Raw genomic sequence first — 15,740 nt, 5'->3', positions numbered from 1 at the left:
TGCTGATACTTTCATCTGCATGATTGCGTCAGCTGTTAAAGCTCTCTACTGAGCTTTTTCAGTTCTGTCACTGTATTCTTCAGCTCCAGGATTTCCGTTTTGTTCTGTTTTTTTTTTTTAATGGTTTCAATTTCATTATTAAAGTTCCCATTTTGTTCATGTATGGTTTTGTTTTCCTATTTTCATTCAGTTGTCTATCTTGCATTAAGATTCTTTAAGATAATTATTTTGAATTATTTCATAGGCAATTTGTATATCTCCATTTGTTTGGGGTCTGTTATTGGAGCATTATTAGTTTCCTTTGGTGATGCCCTGGTTGCCTGAGTCTTTGTTATCCATGTAGCCTTGTATTGGTGTCTGGATATCTGAAAGACCAAACTTTTCTTGCAGTCTTAGAAAACTGGTTTTGGCAAGTTAAAATCTTCTCCTGTTAGGTCGTTGGACTGATAGGACTGCTATATAGATAGCAGTTCAGTGGGGTTGGATCCAAGTCACATGGCTGCTGCTGGGTCCACAGTGGAGAATGGAGTTGGTGGGTCTCTAACCAAAAACTGTAGTGAGCACATATCCTATCTAGATTCTGGGTGAACTGGACTGTCTCAAGGACCTTGGTCTGTGAGTTGGTGCCAGGATGAGGGCCTGCACGTTTCATTGATGGTAGGCCTGTTACTAGGTGTGCTGATGGGTGTGGTTTCCTCCCAACTCTGGAACCACTTCCATTAGATGACTGGGTGGGTCCCTGGGAAGGGAGTACTGACTTGGTCCATGGGTGACAGGGGCTGGAACCAAGTCACAGGGTTGTTTTAGGACTGTTGAGACCGAGCTCTTTAAGCTTGTCTCTGGGGTCACGTACAGATGAGCCTCCTGGTGGGTTGCTGGGTGAGCAGGCATGCTCTCAGGCTGCAAATGAGAAGGGCAGGAGCCGATTTATAGGACTGTTTCAAGATCTATAAGGGACTGAGGTGAGTGACTCAGCTGGGAGAGTTTGTGCTAACATTGTGATTTATGGTAAACACCTGTTTGTCTATGCCTGAGGTTTTGGACTAAGCTGTATGAGTTTGATCTCTGGAAGGGGACCAGAAACTGTGTAGCTAAGGTCAGTCACATTCCACGCCTATGATACTGATCCCAAAGAAAAACCCTGGACACCAAGGCTTAGGTAAGCTCACTGTGGCAACACATCACGTGTTGTCGTATGTTCTTGGGAAGTAAGTATTCTGTCTACATGATTCACTAGGATGGGACAACTATAAACTTGCACCTGGTTTCTCTAGGTCTCTTCCCTGTGTGCCTTTTTCCTTTGATTTTAATTGGAGTACCTTTGCTTTAATAAACCACAGTATAACAGATTTTCTAAGTTCTATATGTCCTTCTAGTCACTGACCCTGAGGATAGTTTTGGAGACCCTGACGCTGTGGAACTAACAATCTGAGTCAAGGGAAATTCCAATTATTAGAGCTGTCAGCTTAAGAGGCCAGAAACATTTTACTGAATGCCTGTCATAAAAGCAAGGTACTATGCTATGCATTTCACAAGTAATCTCATCTAAACCTCATAATAAAACTACGAGATAGGTATTATTATGCCCAAATTTTAGAAGAGGAAACTAGGGATCAGAGAAGTAAACTGACTTTTAAAACCTCATACAGTCACAAAGAGAATAAAATACCTAGGAATACAGCTAATCAGGGAAGTGAAAGATCTCTATCTGATATCTTCTCTGATTTCTATGAGCAGTGTTTTGTAATTCTCATCTTTCACCTCCGGAGGTGACACAAACAAATGGAAAAATATCCAATGCTCATGGACAGGAATAATTAATATCATTAAAATGGTCATATTTCCCAAAGCAATTTACAGATTCAATGCTATTCCTATCAAACTACCAATGACATTCTTCAGAGAACTAGAAAAAACTGTTTAAAAATTCATATGTAACCAAAAAAGAGCCCGAATAGCCAAACAAAAATATCAAAGCTTAGAGGTATCATGTTACCCAACTTCAAACTATAGAACTGGGCTAAAGTAACCAAAACAGCATGGTACTAAGACAAGAACAGGCACATAGGCCAATGGAACAGAATAGAGAGCCCAGAAATAAAACTGCACATCTACAGTCATCTAATCTTTGACAAAGCTGACAAAAACAAGCAATGAGGAAAGGACTCCTTATTCAATAAATAGTGGTGGGATAACTGGCTAGCCATATACAGAAGATTAAAGCTGGACTCCTTCCTTACACCATATATAAAAATCAACCCAAGATGGATTAAAGACTTAAATGAAAAACCCAAAACTATAAAAACCCTGGAAGACAACCCAGGCAATATCATCCTTGACATAGGAATGGGCAAAGATTTCATGAAAAAGACACCAAAAGCAATTGCAACAAAAGCAAAAATCGACAAATAGGATCTACTTAAACTTAAGAGCTTCTGCACAGCAAAAGAAACTATCAACAGAGTAAACAGACAACCTACAGAATGGGAGAAAATATTTGCAAAGTGACAAAGGTGTAGCTACTATCTAGCATCTACAAGGAACTTAAATTTGCAACAGAAAAACAACCCCATTAAAAAGTGGGCAAAGGACATAAACAGACACTCTTGAAAAAAAGACATACACGTGGCCAACAACCATATGGAAAAGGCTCAGTATCACTGATCATTAGAAAAATGCAAATCAAAACCACAATGTGATACTGTCTCATGGTCAAAATGGCTACTATTCAAAAGTCAAAAAATAACAGATGCTGGCGAGGTTGTGGAGAAAAGGGAACACTTATACTGTTGGTGGGAGTGTAAATTAGCTGGACCATTGTGGAAAGCAGTATAGTGATTCCTCAAAGAGCTAAAAACAGAGGTATCATTACTGGGTATATACCCAGAGTAACATAAATCATTCTACTATAAAGACACATGTATGTGAATGTTCATTGTAGCACTACTCACAATAGCAAAAACCTGGAATTAACCTAAGTGCCCATAAATGGCAGATTGGATAAAGAAAATGTGGTACATATATAACATGCGATACTATGCAGCCATAAAAAAGTACAAAATCATGTATTTTGTGGGAACATGAACAGAGTTTGAGGCTATTATCCTTAGCAAACTAATGCAGGAACAGAAAACCAAATACTGCATGTTCTCACTTGTAAGTGGGAGCTAAATGATGAGAACTTATGAATACAAAGAAGGAAAAAACAGACATTGGGATCTACTTGAGGGTGGGTGGTGGGAGGATGGAGAGCTGCAGGAAAAATAACTATTGGGTGCTAGGCTTAATACTTGAGTGATGAAATTATCTGTACAAAAAACCCCTGTGACACGAGATTACCTATAAAGCAAACCTTCACATGTACCCCCAAACCTAAAATAAAAGTAAAAAAACCTCATGTAGCTAAATAAGATCCAAATCTAAACCTTCCAATTCTAAGTCTAGGGAATTTTCTTGGTTACCTTTCTACCTGTGCCCCCTCACCCTGCCCCACCACCCTGGCCAAAGTACAGGGCAAAACATTCAATGAACAACTGTTAATAAAACTGTGAAAAAAGGGAATACAGAGCATAAAAGGAAATTTAAGGAGGCAGCAACAATGAAATGTTCCACAAAGACTTGCTTTTAAGAAACCTCCTAAGACAGCTTGGTTGGCTGAGGCAGGAGTGGGAGATGAGGAGTAATAGGGAGAAAAAGAGAAAAGATGAGGGGGAAGAGAGATTTTTTAAGAGTGAGGGGAAGATCTTGGGAGTAATGTAGGTAGTATAGTGTATTGCATACAACAAAACAAATAGAAATCAGAATAAATAACATGTAGTTTATATGAGTAGGAAATTTTGAAATTGAGATTTTGTAACCAAGGGAGTAATTACTTCGAAAAAAAAAAAAGTATCCTTGCAATAAAAAGAATTCTCTAGTTTAAATTTATCATTTTCCAGTTTTGCTCCATTTGGACTTCCTATACACTTTAATCTCAGCTAAATATATCTTTATTCTCAAAGAAGAAAGAATTTACTTCTTCAGGATATAAATTACCTCAGTAATAGGAACTACGTACTTGTTGATTTCTTTCTGCGCTTAAAATAAGCAGACAAAATGCCATGTTTCCCCAGCGCAAAACAGTGATAAGATGAAATTACATTAAGTGTAATATTTATTCAAAAAATACTGCCTTGAGACAAAAGATCCTTTATGATTTTTGTAACAATAAACACTTACTATTTTTTCCCACTACTTGAGCACATCCTCCCCAAATAAAACATCACAGTTAAGACAAATCTAACCATTTTAAAGAAAATTTTAGAGATAGTGAAATATATTTACATTGGATGGGAAATTTATATTGGATGGAAAATTTCTATATTGGAAGAAAAAAGTAAAAAAAAAATATAATTACCTGTTTTTCTTTATTAACTCCAGACATGAATAGCTGCTTGTATTTGTCCTTAAAAGCAAAGTTTAGAGCTTGTGTTGGAAAATACCGAATAACATTTGCCAAATTGCCACGCCAAAAACTGAAGAAACCTACAGAGGGAAACATATAAATACATAAACCTACATTGTATTATTAAACAATTGCCATAGTTTTAGCAAATTTAGCTATATGAACTATCTAAAACATACTCTTTCTTATGAGAAAAATAAAGTTTTCTAAAATGTGTGTCTCCATTGAAAAATAAAAAGGCAGTGTTAACTCTATTGAACCCCATTCCATTTTTTAAAAAATTTCAAATAAAGAGCTTTGAATACCTAAAACGGAAAGTGTTATCAGTTGAATACAGGGCTCTTTACTAGTAGATAAACAGAACTCAGTTGTATTTCTCAGAGGCTAGTAACCCTAAGGCTTATTCCCAAATCCTGATGTATAACACCTATGGTGGTAAGGCTGTTACAAATGAGTATGATAGAATAAATCCACTTACTGATTTGTACACATACTTATGAGAATGAGAACAGGATAAAAGAATCTAAAGTGCCCTTATCTTTATGATCTGGAACCATTTTGAATGGGTGTTAAAATTTATCCAGAAAAGGGATCCATTTCAATTCCAGGCAGTTTCTAGAGAACTGAGGGAGAGATGGGAAGAAATCTTTGACGCCAGTAATCTCCCTACCTGAATTCTCCAGGGATTGACCAACCCATATAATTCATTGTGTACCCCTTAAAATTCAGAACTATCCTTATGATATAGAGCTGCCCTAGAGCATGGCAGGCTAGCTCTGCAATAGCCTTGGTTGTTTTCACTCGATTACAAATTGTAAAATGCTTTGGCCTTGCTGTTCTGAACAGGATACCTCTAGCACCAGTTCGGAGAATACCCAGAATCAGTCTTTTAAAAATAAAGATTCAAAAGAAAATAATCTCAGTTAACTGCGCTAGTGCTCAGAATTGAACAAAGTTAGATAAGTACATAGAGGGAAAGATAATTATTTGTTAAATAAGTAACATTAACCCTGTGGGAAAAAATAATCTTGGTGAACCCAAGGCTGAATATAAAGTGATTACACAAAGACAATTCAGAAGCATATTTAATGGCAAAGAAATAATCTTCTCAGTACTCATAGCTGACTCCATCTTTACTAGAGTATTCAACATGTGATGGTAACAACTACTACTTACTGAGCATTCACTATATGAACCAGTCACTGGCAAAGGATTTACATGTATATCATGTAATCAATTATGCTTATTATGTAGGTTCTCCAACAGCACCCATTTTAAGTATGTACAAAGTGAAACTTTAAAAAGTTTAAAAACTAGGCTAGGTGCAGTGGCTCACGCCTGTAATTCCAGCACTTTGGGAAGCCAAATTGGGAGGACTGCTTGAGCTCAAGAACTCAAGACCAGCCTGGGCAACATTGTGAGACCGCATCTCTACAAAAAATTAAAAAAATAAATTAGCCGTGTGCCGTGGCATGTGCCTGTAGTTCCAACTACTCAGGAGGCTGAAGTAGGAGGATTTCTTGAGCTGAGGACGTAGAGGCTGCAGTGAGCTATGATCACACAACCTCATTCCAGCATGCGTGACAGAATAAGAACCTGTCTTCAAAAAAAAAAAAAAAAAGAAAAGAAAAAAGAAAAACTCTCTGAGGATTACTAGCCAACCAAGACTTAAAATCAGGCTTTCTGTCTGACTCCAAAACTCTACTCTAGGCTTGGATTTCTGGAGAAACAAATCACAGAAAAGTTCTAAAATTATAATAGATGAAGCTTTATTAAAAAAAGAAACTGCTGTAACAATTTTTGAACAGGAAGATAATGAAAAAGTTCACAAATACATGGAAATTAAACAACATGCTCTTAACAACCAATGGGTCAAAGAAGAAATGAAGAGGAAAATTAAATCTTGGGATAAAATGGAAACACAACATACCAACACTCACAGATGCATCAAAAGCAGTTAAGAGAGAAGTTTATAGCAATAAATGCATATGTATAAAGAAGAAAGATCTCAAATAACCTAATTTGATACCACAAGGAGCTAGAGAAAGAACAAACTAAGTCCAAAGTTAGAAGAAGGAGAGAGATAATAAAAATTAGTGTTACCAAAATGCCAAGGGTTTAGTCTAGGTTCTGCTGCTTATTGCACAGAAAACCAATCACAGAGACGATGAGTACTGCCAGGGAAGAAGGCTGTTTTGGGTGCTGTGTCTGAGGAGAACAGATCAATCTCAAATCCATCTCTTTCATGCACTAAAATTAGGAGTTTATATAGCAGAAAAGAAATGTAACTATGTGTGGGAAAGCAAGAATTAGGGAGGAATAAGAAGAAGGACTTGGTCAACAGGTAATCAATCAGGCAGTCATGACAGGCGAAGGGTTAGTGTCTCAATGTCCAGATGTGGTGATCTGGTAAGTTTCAGTTCCTCGATACTATCTGGGAGGCCCAAAGGTTGGTTTCCTGAGAAAGGAACTCAGATATGACAAATACGAGTTTCTCAAGTTTTAAGACTGAGAGGTCAATTTCTTGGTTTATTGATGAGAAACAATAAACATCAGTTCCATGGGCCAATTGAGCTGGTTTCAATGGCAGAAATAAATGAAATAGAGACTACAAAAATAATAGAAAAATATCAGTCAAACTAAGAGTTTATTTTTTTGAGATCCAGTGCTGGTTGGTATTTTATTAGAAGAAGATAAACAAAATTGACAAACCTCTAGCTAGACTTAAGAAAAAAAGAGAGGAGAGTCAAGTAAGTAAAATTATAAGTGAAAGAAAAGACATTACCACTAACATACAGTAATACAAAGAGTTGTAAGAGATTACTATGAACAATTATATACCAAGAAATTAAATAACATATATGAAATTGATAAATTTCTAGAAACATATAATCTACCAAGTCTGAATCATGAATAAATTTCTGAACAGACCAACAATGATTGAATCAGTAATCAGAAACTTAACAATAAAGAAAAGCCCAGGATCTGATGATTTCACAGCTGAATTCTACTAAATTCATTTTACAAGGCCAACATTACCCCGGTACCAAAGCCAACCAAAATACTACAAGAAAAGAAAATTGCAGGCCAATATTCCAATGAACAAACATGCAAAAATCCTCAGCAAAATACTACCAAATTGAATTCAATATAATGATAAAAGGATCATTCACCACAATCAAGTGGGATTTATGCCTGGGATGCAAGGATGGCTCAACATGCACAAATGGGTAAATGTCATATACCGCATTAACAGAATGAAGGACAAAAATCATATGAGCATCTCAAAAAATGCTGAAGAAGCATTTGACAGAATTTATCTTTATGTAATAAAAACTCTCAACAAATTAGGTATAGAAGCAATGTACTACAACATAATAAAGGCCATATGTGACAAGCTCACAGATAACATACTCAGTGGAGAAAAGTTGAAAACTTTCCTCTGAGATCAGGAATAAGACAAAGGGATCCACTCTTGCACTTTTATTCAATATAGTACCTTAAGTTCTAGCCAGAGTGATTAGGAAAAAGAAAAGTATCCAAATTAAAAAGAAGTTAAACTGTCTCTGTTTGCAGATGACATGATCTTACATACAGAAAACCCTAAATATGCCAACAAACTATTAGACTAATAATTCAGTAAAGTTTTAGGATATAAAATCAACACAGAAAAATCAATCACATTTCTATATACTAACAATGAACTACCTGAAAAAGTAATAAAACAGTATCATTCACAATAGCATACACGAAACATTAGGAATAAATTTAACCAAAGAGGTGAAAGATCTGTACGCCAAAAAGTTTAAAAAACTGATGAAAGAAACTGAAGAGATATCCAGGCATTTGGAGCACCCACTCACCTAGATGAGCAGCCTGAGCCACCCTACCCTTTCTGTGCAGAGATTGTGGTGCAGTGGGGCCCTCTCTGCTTTATACACAGGCAGATCTCCAGGCATTCAAAGAACCTGCTCACCTGCATTGGCAGCCTGAGTCACCCCACCCTTCCTTTGCAGAGATCTGTGTGGAGGAGGCCTTCTCAGCTTCACACTCAGGCAGGCAGAGTACCTACTTGCCATGATCAGCAGCCTGAGCTGCCCCATCCTTCCTGTGCAGACATTGTGGTGAAGTGGGGCTGTCTCTGCTCCACAACCAGGCAGATTTCCAGGCATTCTGACCATCTGCTCTCCTGAATCATCAGCCTGGCGCATCCTTTCTCCCAGTAAATAGGGGTCAAGTACATATGTAGCTGTGTTTGCCTCAGTTGACTCAGCTGTACATGCTATCTACTGGCCTGTAGGTTGGATCCCATAGCCCAATATAAAACCTGCTGACATACATGCATAGGGCTATAGAAGCAAAGTCAAAAGCCCCTGTCCAACATTGTCTACAGTTACACCCCCAAGGGTTATAGAGCAAAGTCAAAAGCCCCTACCCAACACTGTCTACAGTTACACCCCCAAGGGAGGAGGGGGAAAGAGAAAAGAAAAAACCCCAATAATGTTACATAGAAAAAGAAAAAAAATCCTACCTGCATTAAAATGACTACAAAAATTGGAAGCACTAGTGTCTCCAGTTGAGAAGGAATAGGGCAAGAAATCAGGCACCACAAAAAATGTGAATGTAATAACAACACCAAAGGATCACACTAGCGGTCAAGCAATGGTTCCTAGCCAAAATGGAAACTCAGAAATGACTAAGAATTCAAAGCATGAATTGCAAGGAAGCTCAATAAGATCTAAAAGAAGGTTGAAAATAGACACAAACTTCTAGAGTAATCTGGGAAATGAAAGAAGAGATAAACATCTTCAAAAGAAATCAATGAGATCTTATGGAATTGAAAAGCTTACTTAAGAAATTTCAAAATACAATTAAAAAAATTATCAATTGACTGGACCAAGCAGAAGAAAGAAATGCAGAGCTTGAAGACTGGTCCTTTAACCCAGTTAGACAAAAATACAGAAAAAAGAATTTTAATAAATGAACAAAGTCTTTGAGAAATATAAGATTATGTAAAGCAGCCAAACCTACAAGTTACTGGCATTCCTGAAACAGAAAAAGTAAACAACCCAAAAAACATATTTGAGGAAATAATTCAAGAAAATTTCCCTAATCTTTGTCCAGATACAAGAAATCCAGAGAACACCTGTGAGATACTGTACAAAATGAACATCAATCACCAAGGCATATAGTCACCAGAATGTCCAAGGTCAACACTAAAGAAAAAATCTTAAAGAGAGCTAAAGGAAAAGGTCAGATCATGTACAAAGAGAAACCCATCAAGCTAACAGTAGCCTTCTCAGCAGAAACACTACAAGCCAGGAGAGATTGGGGGCCTATTTTCAGCATTCTTAAAGAAAAATTCAAACCAAGAATTTCATATCACACCAAACTAAATTTTATACATGAAGAAGAGATAAAATCTTTTCCAGGCAAGCAAGTGCTAAGAGAATTTAGTTACCACCAGACCAGGTGACAAGCAATCCTTAAGGGAGCTCTACACATGGAAATGAAAGAAAAATACCTGCTACCACAAAAACACTGTTAACATAGCCAAGAGATCCTACAAAGCAACCACACAATATAAAATATGAAGAAACCAGCTAACAAATTCACAATATGATCAAAACCTCATATATCAAATATTAACCTTCAGTGTAAACCTCTAACCACCCCGTTTAAAAGACAGAGTGACAAGTTGGATAAAAAACAAGATGCATCTGTCTGCTGTCTTTAAGAGACCAATCTCATATGTAATGACACCCACAGGCTCAAAGTAAAGGGTTGGAAAAGGATCATGCAAATAAAAAACAAAAAAGAGCAGGGGTCATTATTCTTATATGAGATATAACAGAGTTTAAACCAGCAAAAATAAAAAGGACAAAGATGTGCATCACATAATGAAAAAGGGTTCAATTCAACAAGAAGATTTAACTATCCTAAATATATACATACCCAACATTTGGACCACCCAGATTTATAAAACAAGTACTTCTACACTTACAAAAAGACTTAGCCAGTCACACAATAAGAGTGGGGGACTTCAACACCCCACCAACAGCTTTAGACCATCAAGGCAGAAAATGAACATAGAAATTCTAGACTTAAATTCCACACTTGACCATTCGAACCTAATAGACATCTATAGAATACTCCACCCAACAACCAGAGAATTACATTCTTCTCTTCTACACATGGAACATACTCCAAGATTGACCACATGCTAAGCCATAAAGCAAGTCTCCATAAATACAAAAAAATAGAAATTATATCAACCATACTCTGACCACAACAGAATAAAAACAGAAGTCAATATCAAAAAGATCTCTCAAAAGCACAAATTATATGGAAATTAAACAATTTGGGCCAGGCGTGGTGGCTCACATCTATAATCCTAGCACTTTGGGAGGCTGAGCCAGGTAGATTGCCTGAGCTTAATTTGAGACCAGCCTGGGCAACATGGTGGAAGCCCATCTCTACTGAAATACAAAAAATTAGCTGGGTGTGGTGGTGCACGTCTGTAGTCTCAGCTACTCAGGAGGCTGAGGAATGAGAATTGCTTGAATCCGGAGTGGGAATCGCTTGACTCTGGGAGGCCAAGGCTGCAGTGAGCTGTGATGGTGCCACCACACTCCAGCCTGGGGAACAGAGTGAGACCCTCTCCTAAAAAGAAAATTGAAATCAGCTGTTTAAAGGAAAAAACTAATAAGCTGGTTTTTGAAGGCTATTTTACACATGGCTTTTTAACTATTAATGGCCACTTTGGAAATGGCTAATACAGCTGACTGGTATGAGATATTATGGGTTTCAGACTAGGAGTTATTAGTTATAATTCTGTAATTATGATTATATTGCTGAGTATATAAAAAATGAGTATAATACATAATAGCACAAGCCAGGCATGGTGGCTCATGCCTGTAATCCCAATGGCTTGGAAGGCTGAAAATGGATGACTGCTTGAGGCCAGAAGTTTGAGACCAGCCTGGGTAACACAGTGAGACCCTATCTCTAAAAAAAACAAACCCCAAACAAACTTAGCTGCCATGGTGGCATGTGCCTGTGCTCCCTGCTACTGAGGAGGCTGAGGTGGGAGTTCTTGAACACCAAAACTCCAGGCTGCAGTTAAGTCACGATTGTGCCCTGCAGTCCAGCCTGGGCGATGGAGCAGGACCCTATCTAAAAGAAAAAAAAAAAAAGAGTAGTACAAAGGTTTGTAACTTTGATTAGCGTACTGAACATAAACAGAAGGTTTTAATGATAAAGACATCTGGAAACTAACATGAGACCATGATGACAGAGTGTCAGATTTATGACTAAAGAGGTTTGCTAGTGTTGGCTGAAGAATGTGTTCCTTTGAGAAAAATTGTATTTGCACGAATAAAACCATTTGCATCAAAAGAAATGTCAATATCTCAATGAAAATTTACAAACAAATCCCTAGAAGTATAACAGGAAAACTGTTAAAGTAGTATAGCAGGCAATTCTTAATGGGTTAGGTCAGAAAAAATATAAAATCTCACATACATAAAATAGTTTTACATAGATGTCACAGAATTCTTGAATTCCCTGAAGCTCCAGGTGTCAGGTTAAGAACTCTTGTTTTAACCTCTTTTCCCATAGATCACACTAAAACATCTTATTCTTATTTCCTTCTTTGCCTCTGCTGTACCTTGCTGTTAGAAACTCCAATGCCCCTGCTAAGAGTATAACACAGGAGGAGCCCCTAAGTAAAATTCTGAATGCATTTTCTAACTATTTTTGGGAGTCAGGTTTCAGCGTTTTAATTCAACTCTACTTAGATATGCTATGCACTACATAGGTTCCAGTTCCCTTGGATAGATTACAAAAATCTACTCTATGCATAATGCAAGTTTATCCCAAATTATTTCATTTACAAATGAACATCTGGAGTACATGTTTATAAATTCAGGAACACACACATACACATTAGTAACAATTACTTGAGCACTAACTATGGTGTAGACACATGTTGAATATTTTACATGCATTATCTTCTTTAATCCTCACAACTACCGTATCAGATAGGTATAGTTATTATACCAGTATACCACTGAGGGAACTGGGGCTGAGAAAGGTTAAATAAAAACTGTTCAAAGTTACAAGATATAGGAAAGGCTGAGACTTGGTTCTAGGTCCATTCGACTCGAGGTCTAGAGTTACTGCACTTCTATTGCCTCTATATAAAAATCCATTCTGGATAAAACAGTATTTTTTGGTTAGAATAAAACAAGGTTAAAGCAGAAGTGATACAATGGCAGGAACGTTTTGACTCTCTAGTCATACAGAATAAATGGATGGTTTCTTAATATATATCACAAAATTGGTAGAGAAAAATATAGTGATGGTGACCTCTTTCTCCATTAAAAGTAAAATAAATAAATAAAAGTTTAAGTTTCTAATTCCTAAGAAAAAAATTTCTTCAAAATTTAAGAAGGATGAGAAAAACCTGCTCTGAACCTAATTTTGAACAAATAAATAAGAATTGAAATAAAAGTGACAGGAAAAAGTTACTGGGCCATTTATTGGCTGGCCTTGCCAAGAACAAGAATGTTAGGCATTCACGCCTGTAATCCCAGCACTTTGGGAGGCCGAGGCGGGCGGATCACGAGGTCAGGAGATCGAGACCATCCTGGCTAACAAGGTGAAACCCCGTCTCTACTAAAAATACAAAAAATTAGCCGGGCGTGGTAGCGGGCGCCTGTAGTCCCAGCTACTCGGGAGGCTGAGGCAGGAGAATGGCGTGAACCCGGGAGACGGAGCTTGCAGTGAGCCGAGATCGCGCCACTGCACTCCAGCCTGGGCGACAGAGCGAGACTCCGTCTCAAAAAAAAAAATAAATAAATAAATAAATAAATAAATAAAATAAAAGAATGTTAGGCATGTTTGGATATACAGTCTAAACCAACATTTTTTTTTTTTTTTTGCAGGGGAGGTTCAACATGTTTTGATGATATGCCTATCAATTAAAAAAAAAGTCTGCATGACTTCCAAATAGTATACATTAATAAATTATATACCTTTGCAACTATACTACCATATTATGTACATCTGTAAAACATACTCAAAATATAAATTAAAGAATGAGATAAAGATTTTTCATTTAAAAACTTTTATTTGGTACCTCCTCCACAGCAGACATTTTGTGCCTACTGGGGACAGCACTAGGAACAATGTTCCTGATCTTATGGAGCTTACATCTTAAGAGGGAGGGACCAGGGAGACAGGTAGCAAATAACTATGTCTGTTAGCAATAAAAAACTGTAAACAAAAAAACAATATATGAAGATTGGGAATAATAAAAGGCTATTTAGATAGGGTTGTTAGGGAAACTTGAATGTTAGATGATATTAGAGCAAAGTTAAACATTTATTTAAAAGATGAAAAACAATATTTTCAAACATCTTGCTAATTATGATGCTTTCACACCACCATTTACTATTATCTCAAGGCACTGTTAGGGTGAAGTTCATTTTTAAGAATAGTATATAGGAATCTATATTTCAAATAGTCTTCTTGTCTCAGGTCCAATTAGACTGTCATTGTTTCTACACTGAATGTCATGTGAATGATGAAATAATACGCCATTTCTTGGAGTAAATGGCATCAGCTTTTTCTTGTGGTTCATCATTTGATATTGGTGTTACCCTTGATTTGGTTTTCACGGCAGAATCTTTTTCAAAGTTTTGTCCATGTTTTGAGGATTTAGTTAAAACCTGATAATAGAATCTATAAATCCAGTTAATTGGGCAAACATAAACAATAATATATTATTGAGGAAGGGTGCTTGTCATTCCCTCTACCTTGTGTAACTCCCACTCTTTTTTTCAGGATCCCTTAATGTCCCGTGATATGTAACTGACATTGGGCCCAAGCATAGGGGACAATGCCAATTTATATATTAAATATCAGTAAAATTTATTTTTGTATTTTACTTAAAGTACATATAAATAAAATACCTAATATTTTCTTCCCATACCCCAAAATAGCATCTTCAAGATGGACCCTAGGATATTAAAAAACCTCACTGTTCTAAGTCTTCAGAAAAATGGGTTTGGGAAAAGCTTAGATGAAAGCTGATAAACTCGTGACACGGAACTCCTAAAAGAGAAGAGTTTGGATAGGCTTGTAAAAATGAGACTGTACGGATCTTTTTTTTTTTTTTTTTTTTTTTTTTGAGACAGTCTTCCTCTGTACCCAGGATGGAGTGTAGTGGCACGATCTTGGCTCACTGAAGCCTGTGCTTCCCAGGTTCAAGTGATTCTTGTGTTTCAGCTTCCCAGGTAGCTGGGACTATAGGCGTGCGCCACCATGCCCAGCTAATTTTTGTATTTTTAGTAGAGACGGGGTTTCACCATGTTGGCCAGGCTGGTCTTGAACTCCTGGCCTCAAGTGATCTGCCCACCTCTGCCTCCCAAAGTGCTGGCATTACAGGCATGAGCCACCACACCCAGAAAATCAGTTCTTTAAAAGGCTACATTTACAATATACTAATAAGACAGTTCCTTTGATTAAACACATATTTACATATGTATATTTTGCTCAGTGAAAAACCAAAATGTTAATTGTGGTGACTTTAGCAGTGATGTTACTTTTTGCTTCTTTATATTTTCTAATTTTCTACAATAATTATGCATTATTTGCATAATAAAGGTTTAAACAGTGTTAAATAAAAGTACACATACAAAGTTGGCAGGTGATAAAACCAACTAAAGAATATAATAAATCTTTAAGAACAACATAAGGATAAATCCAGAAGCTTTCATAAGCCAAGAAAAGCTTATAAAAAGTGTCAGAAACACTCAAAGTGATATTTAAAGCTATATTCAAGGCAAGAATGCAGAGATCTATTCTTGTAATGGAAAGAAAGTAGAGATAAGGTAAGAAACTAGAGAGCATCTAGTTGTGCATTCTGTGTTCATATCTCTTTCTCCAGCTCATTTCACATGGCCTAAAGAAAGGAAAAGTTGTGAATAAAATTAGAGAAAACATAAAAACAATCTTCAGGACACCTGAGATGTGCATGTGTCTTGACTTTCAAAAAAGAAAGAGAAGGCAAATTGCAAGAAATTTATGTTTTAAAATAAGGAAGTTGGTAGGTCATGACCATACCAAAAATATAATAGTCAAGCTTGCCTCTACTTATAACGATTCAGTTGTAATTAACTGCATATTGACATTTTGAAATACGTCAAATAAATATGTGTACAAGTATACATACAATCATCATAGATTCAATAGCTACAAATACAGATGACACAGGTTGAGCATCACTAAT

General features: G+C 36.7%; 1 protein-coding gene across 3 annotated transcripts in view; it reads right to left on the bottom strand.

The window, feature by feature from the left end:
• SLC25A31 (solute carrier family 25 member 31) overlaps window positions 1-15,740 on the bottom strand; it is a 43,893-nt gene that overhangs the window by 25,097 nt on the left and 3,056 nt on the right. For all 3 annotated transcript variants that reach the window (NM_001318467.2, NM_031291.4, XM_011532298.3), the window contains exon 2: window positions 4,397-4,524. In NM_001318467.2, the coding sequence (NP_001305396.1) occupies window positions 4,397-4,524 (128 nt within the window). The remainder of the gene's footprint in view (window positions 1-4,396; window positions 4,525-15,740) is intronic.

This window comes from Homo sapiens, chromosome 4 (assembly GCF_000001405.40).
Source record: "Homo sapiens chromosome 4, GRCh38.p14 Primary Assembly".
Taxonomy (NCBI): domain Eukaryota; kingdom Metazoa; phylum Chordata; class Mammalia; order Primates; family Hominidae; genus Homo; species Homo sapiens.
The sequence above is the reverse complement of the archived record's forward strand: the minus strand, read 5'-3'. Positions and strand labels throughout refer to the sequence as shown.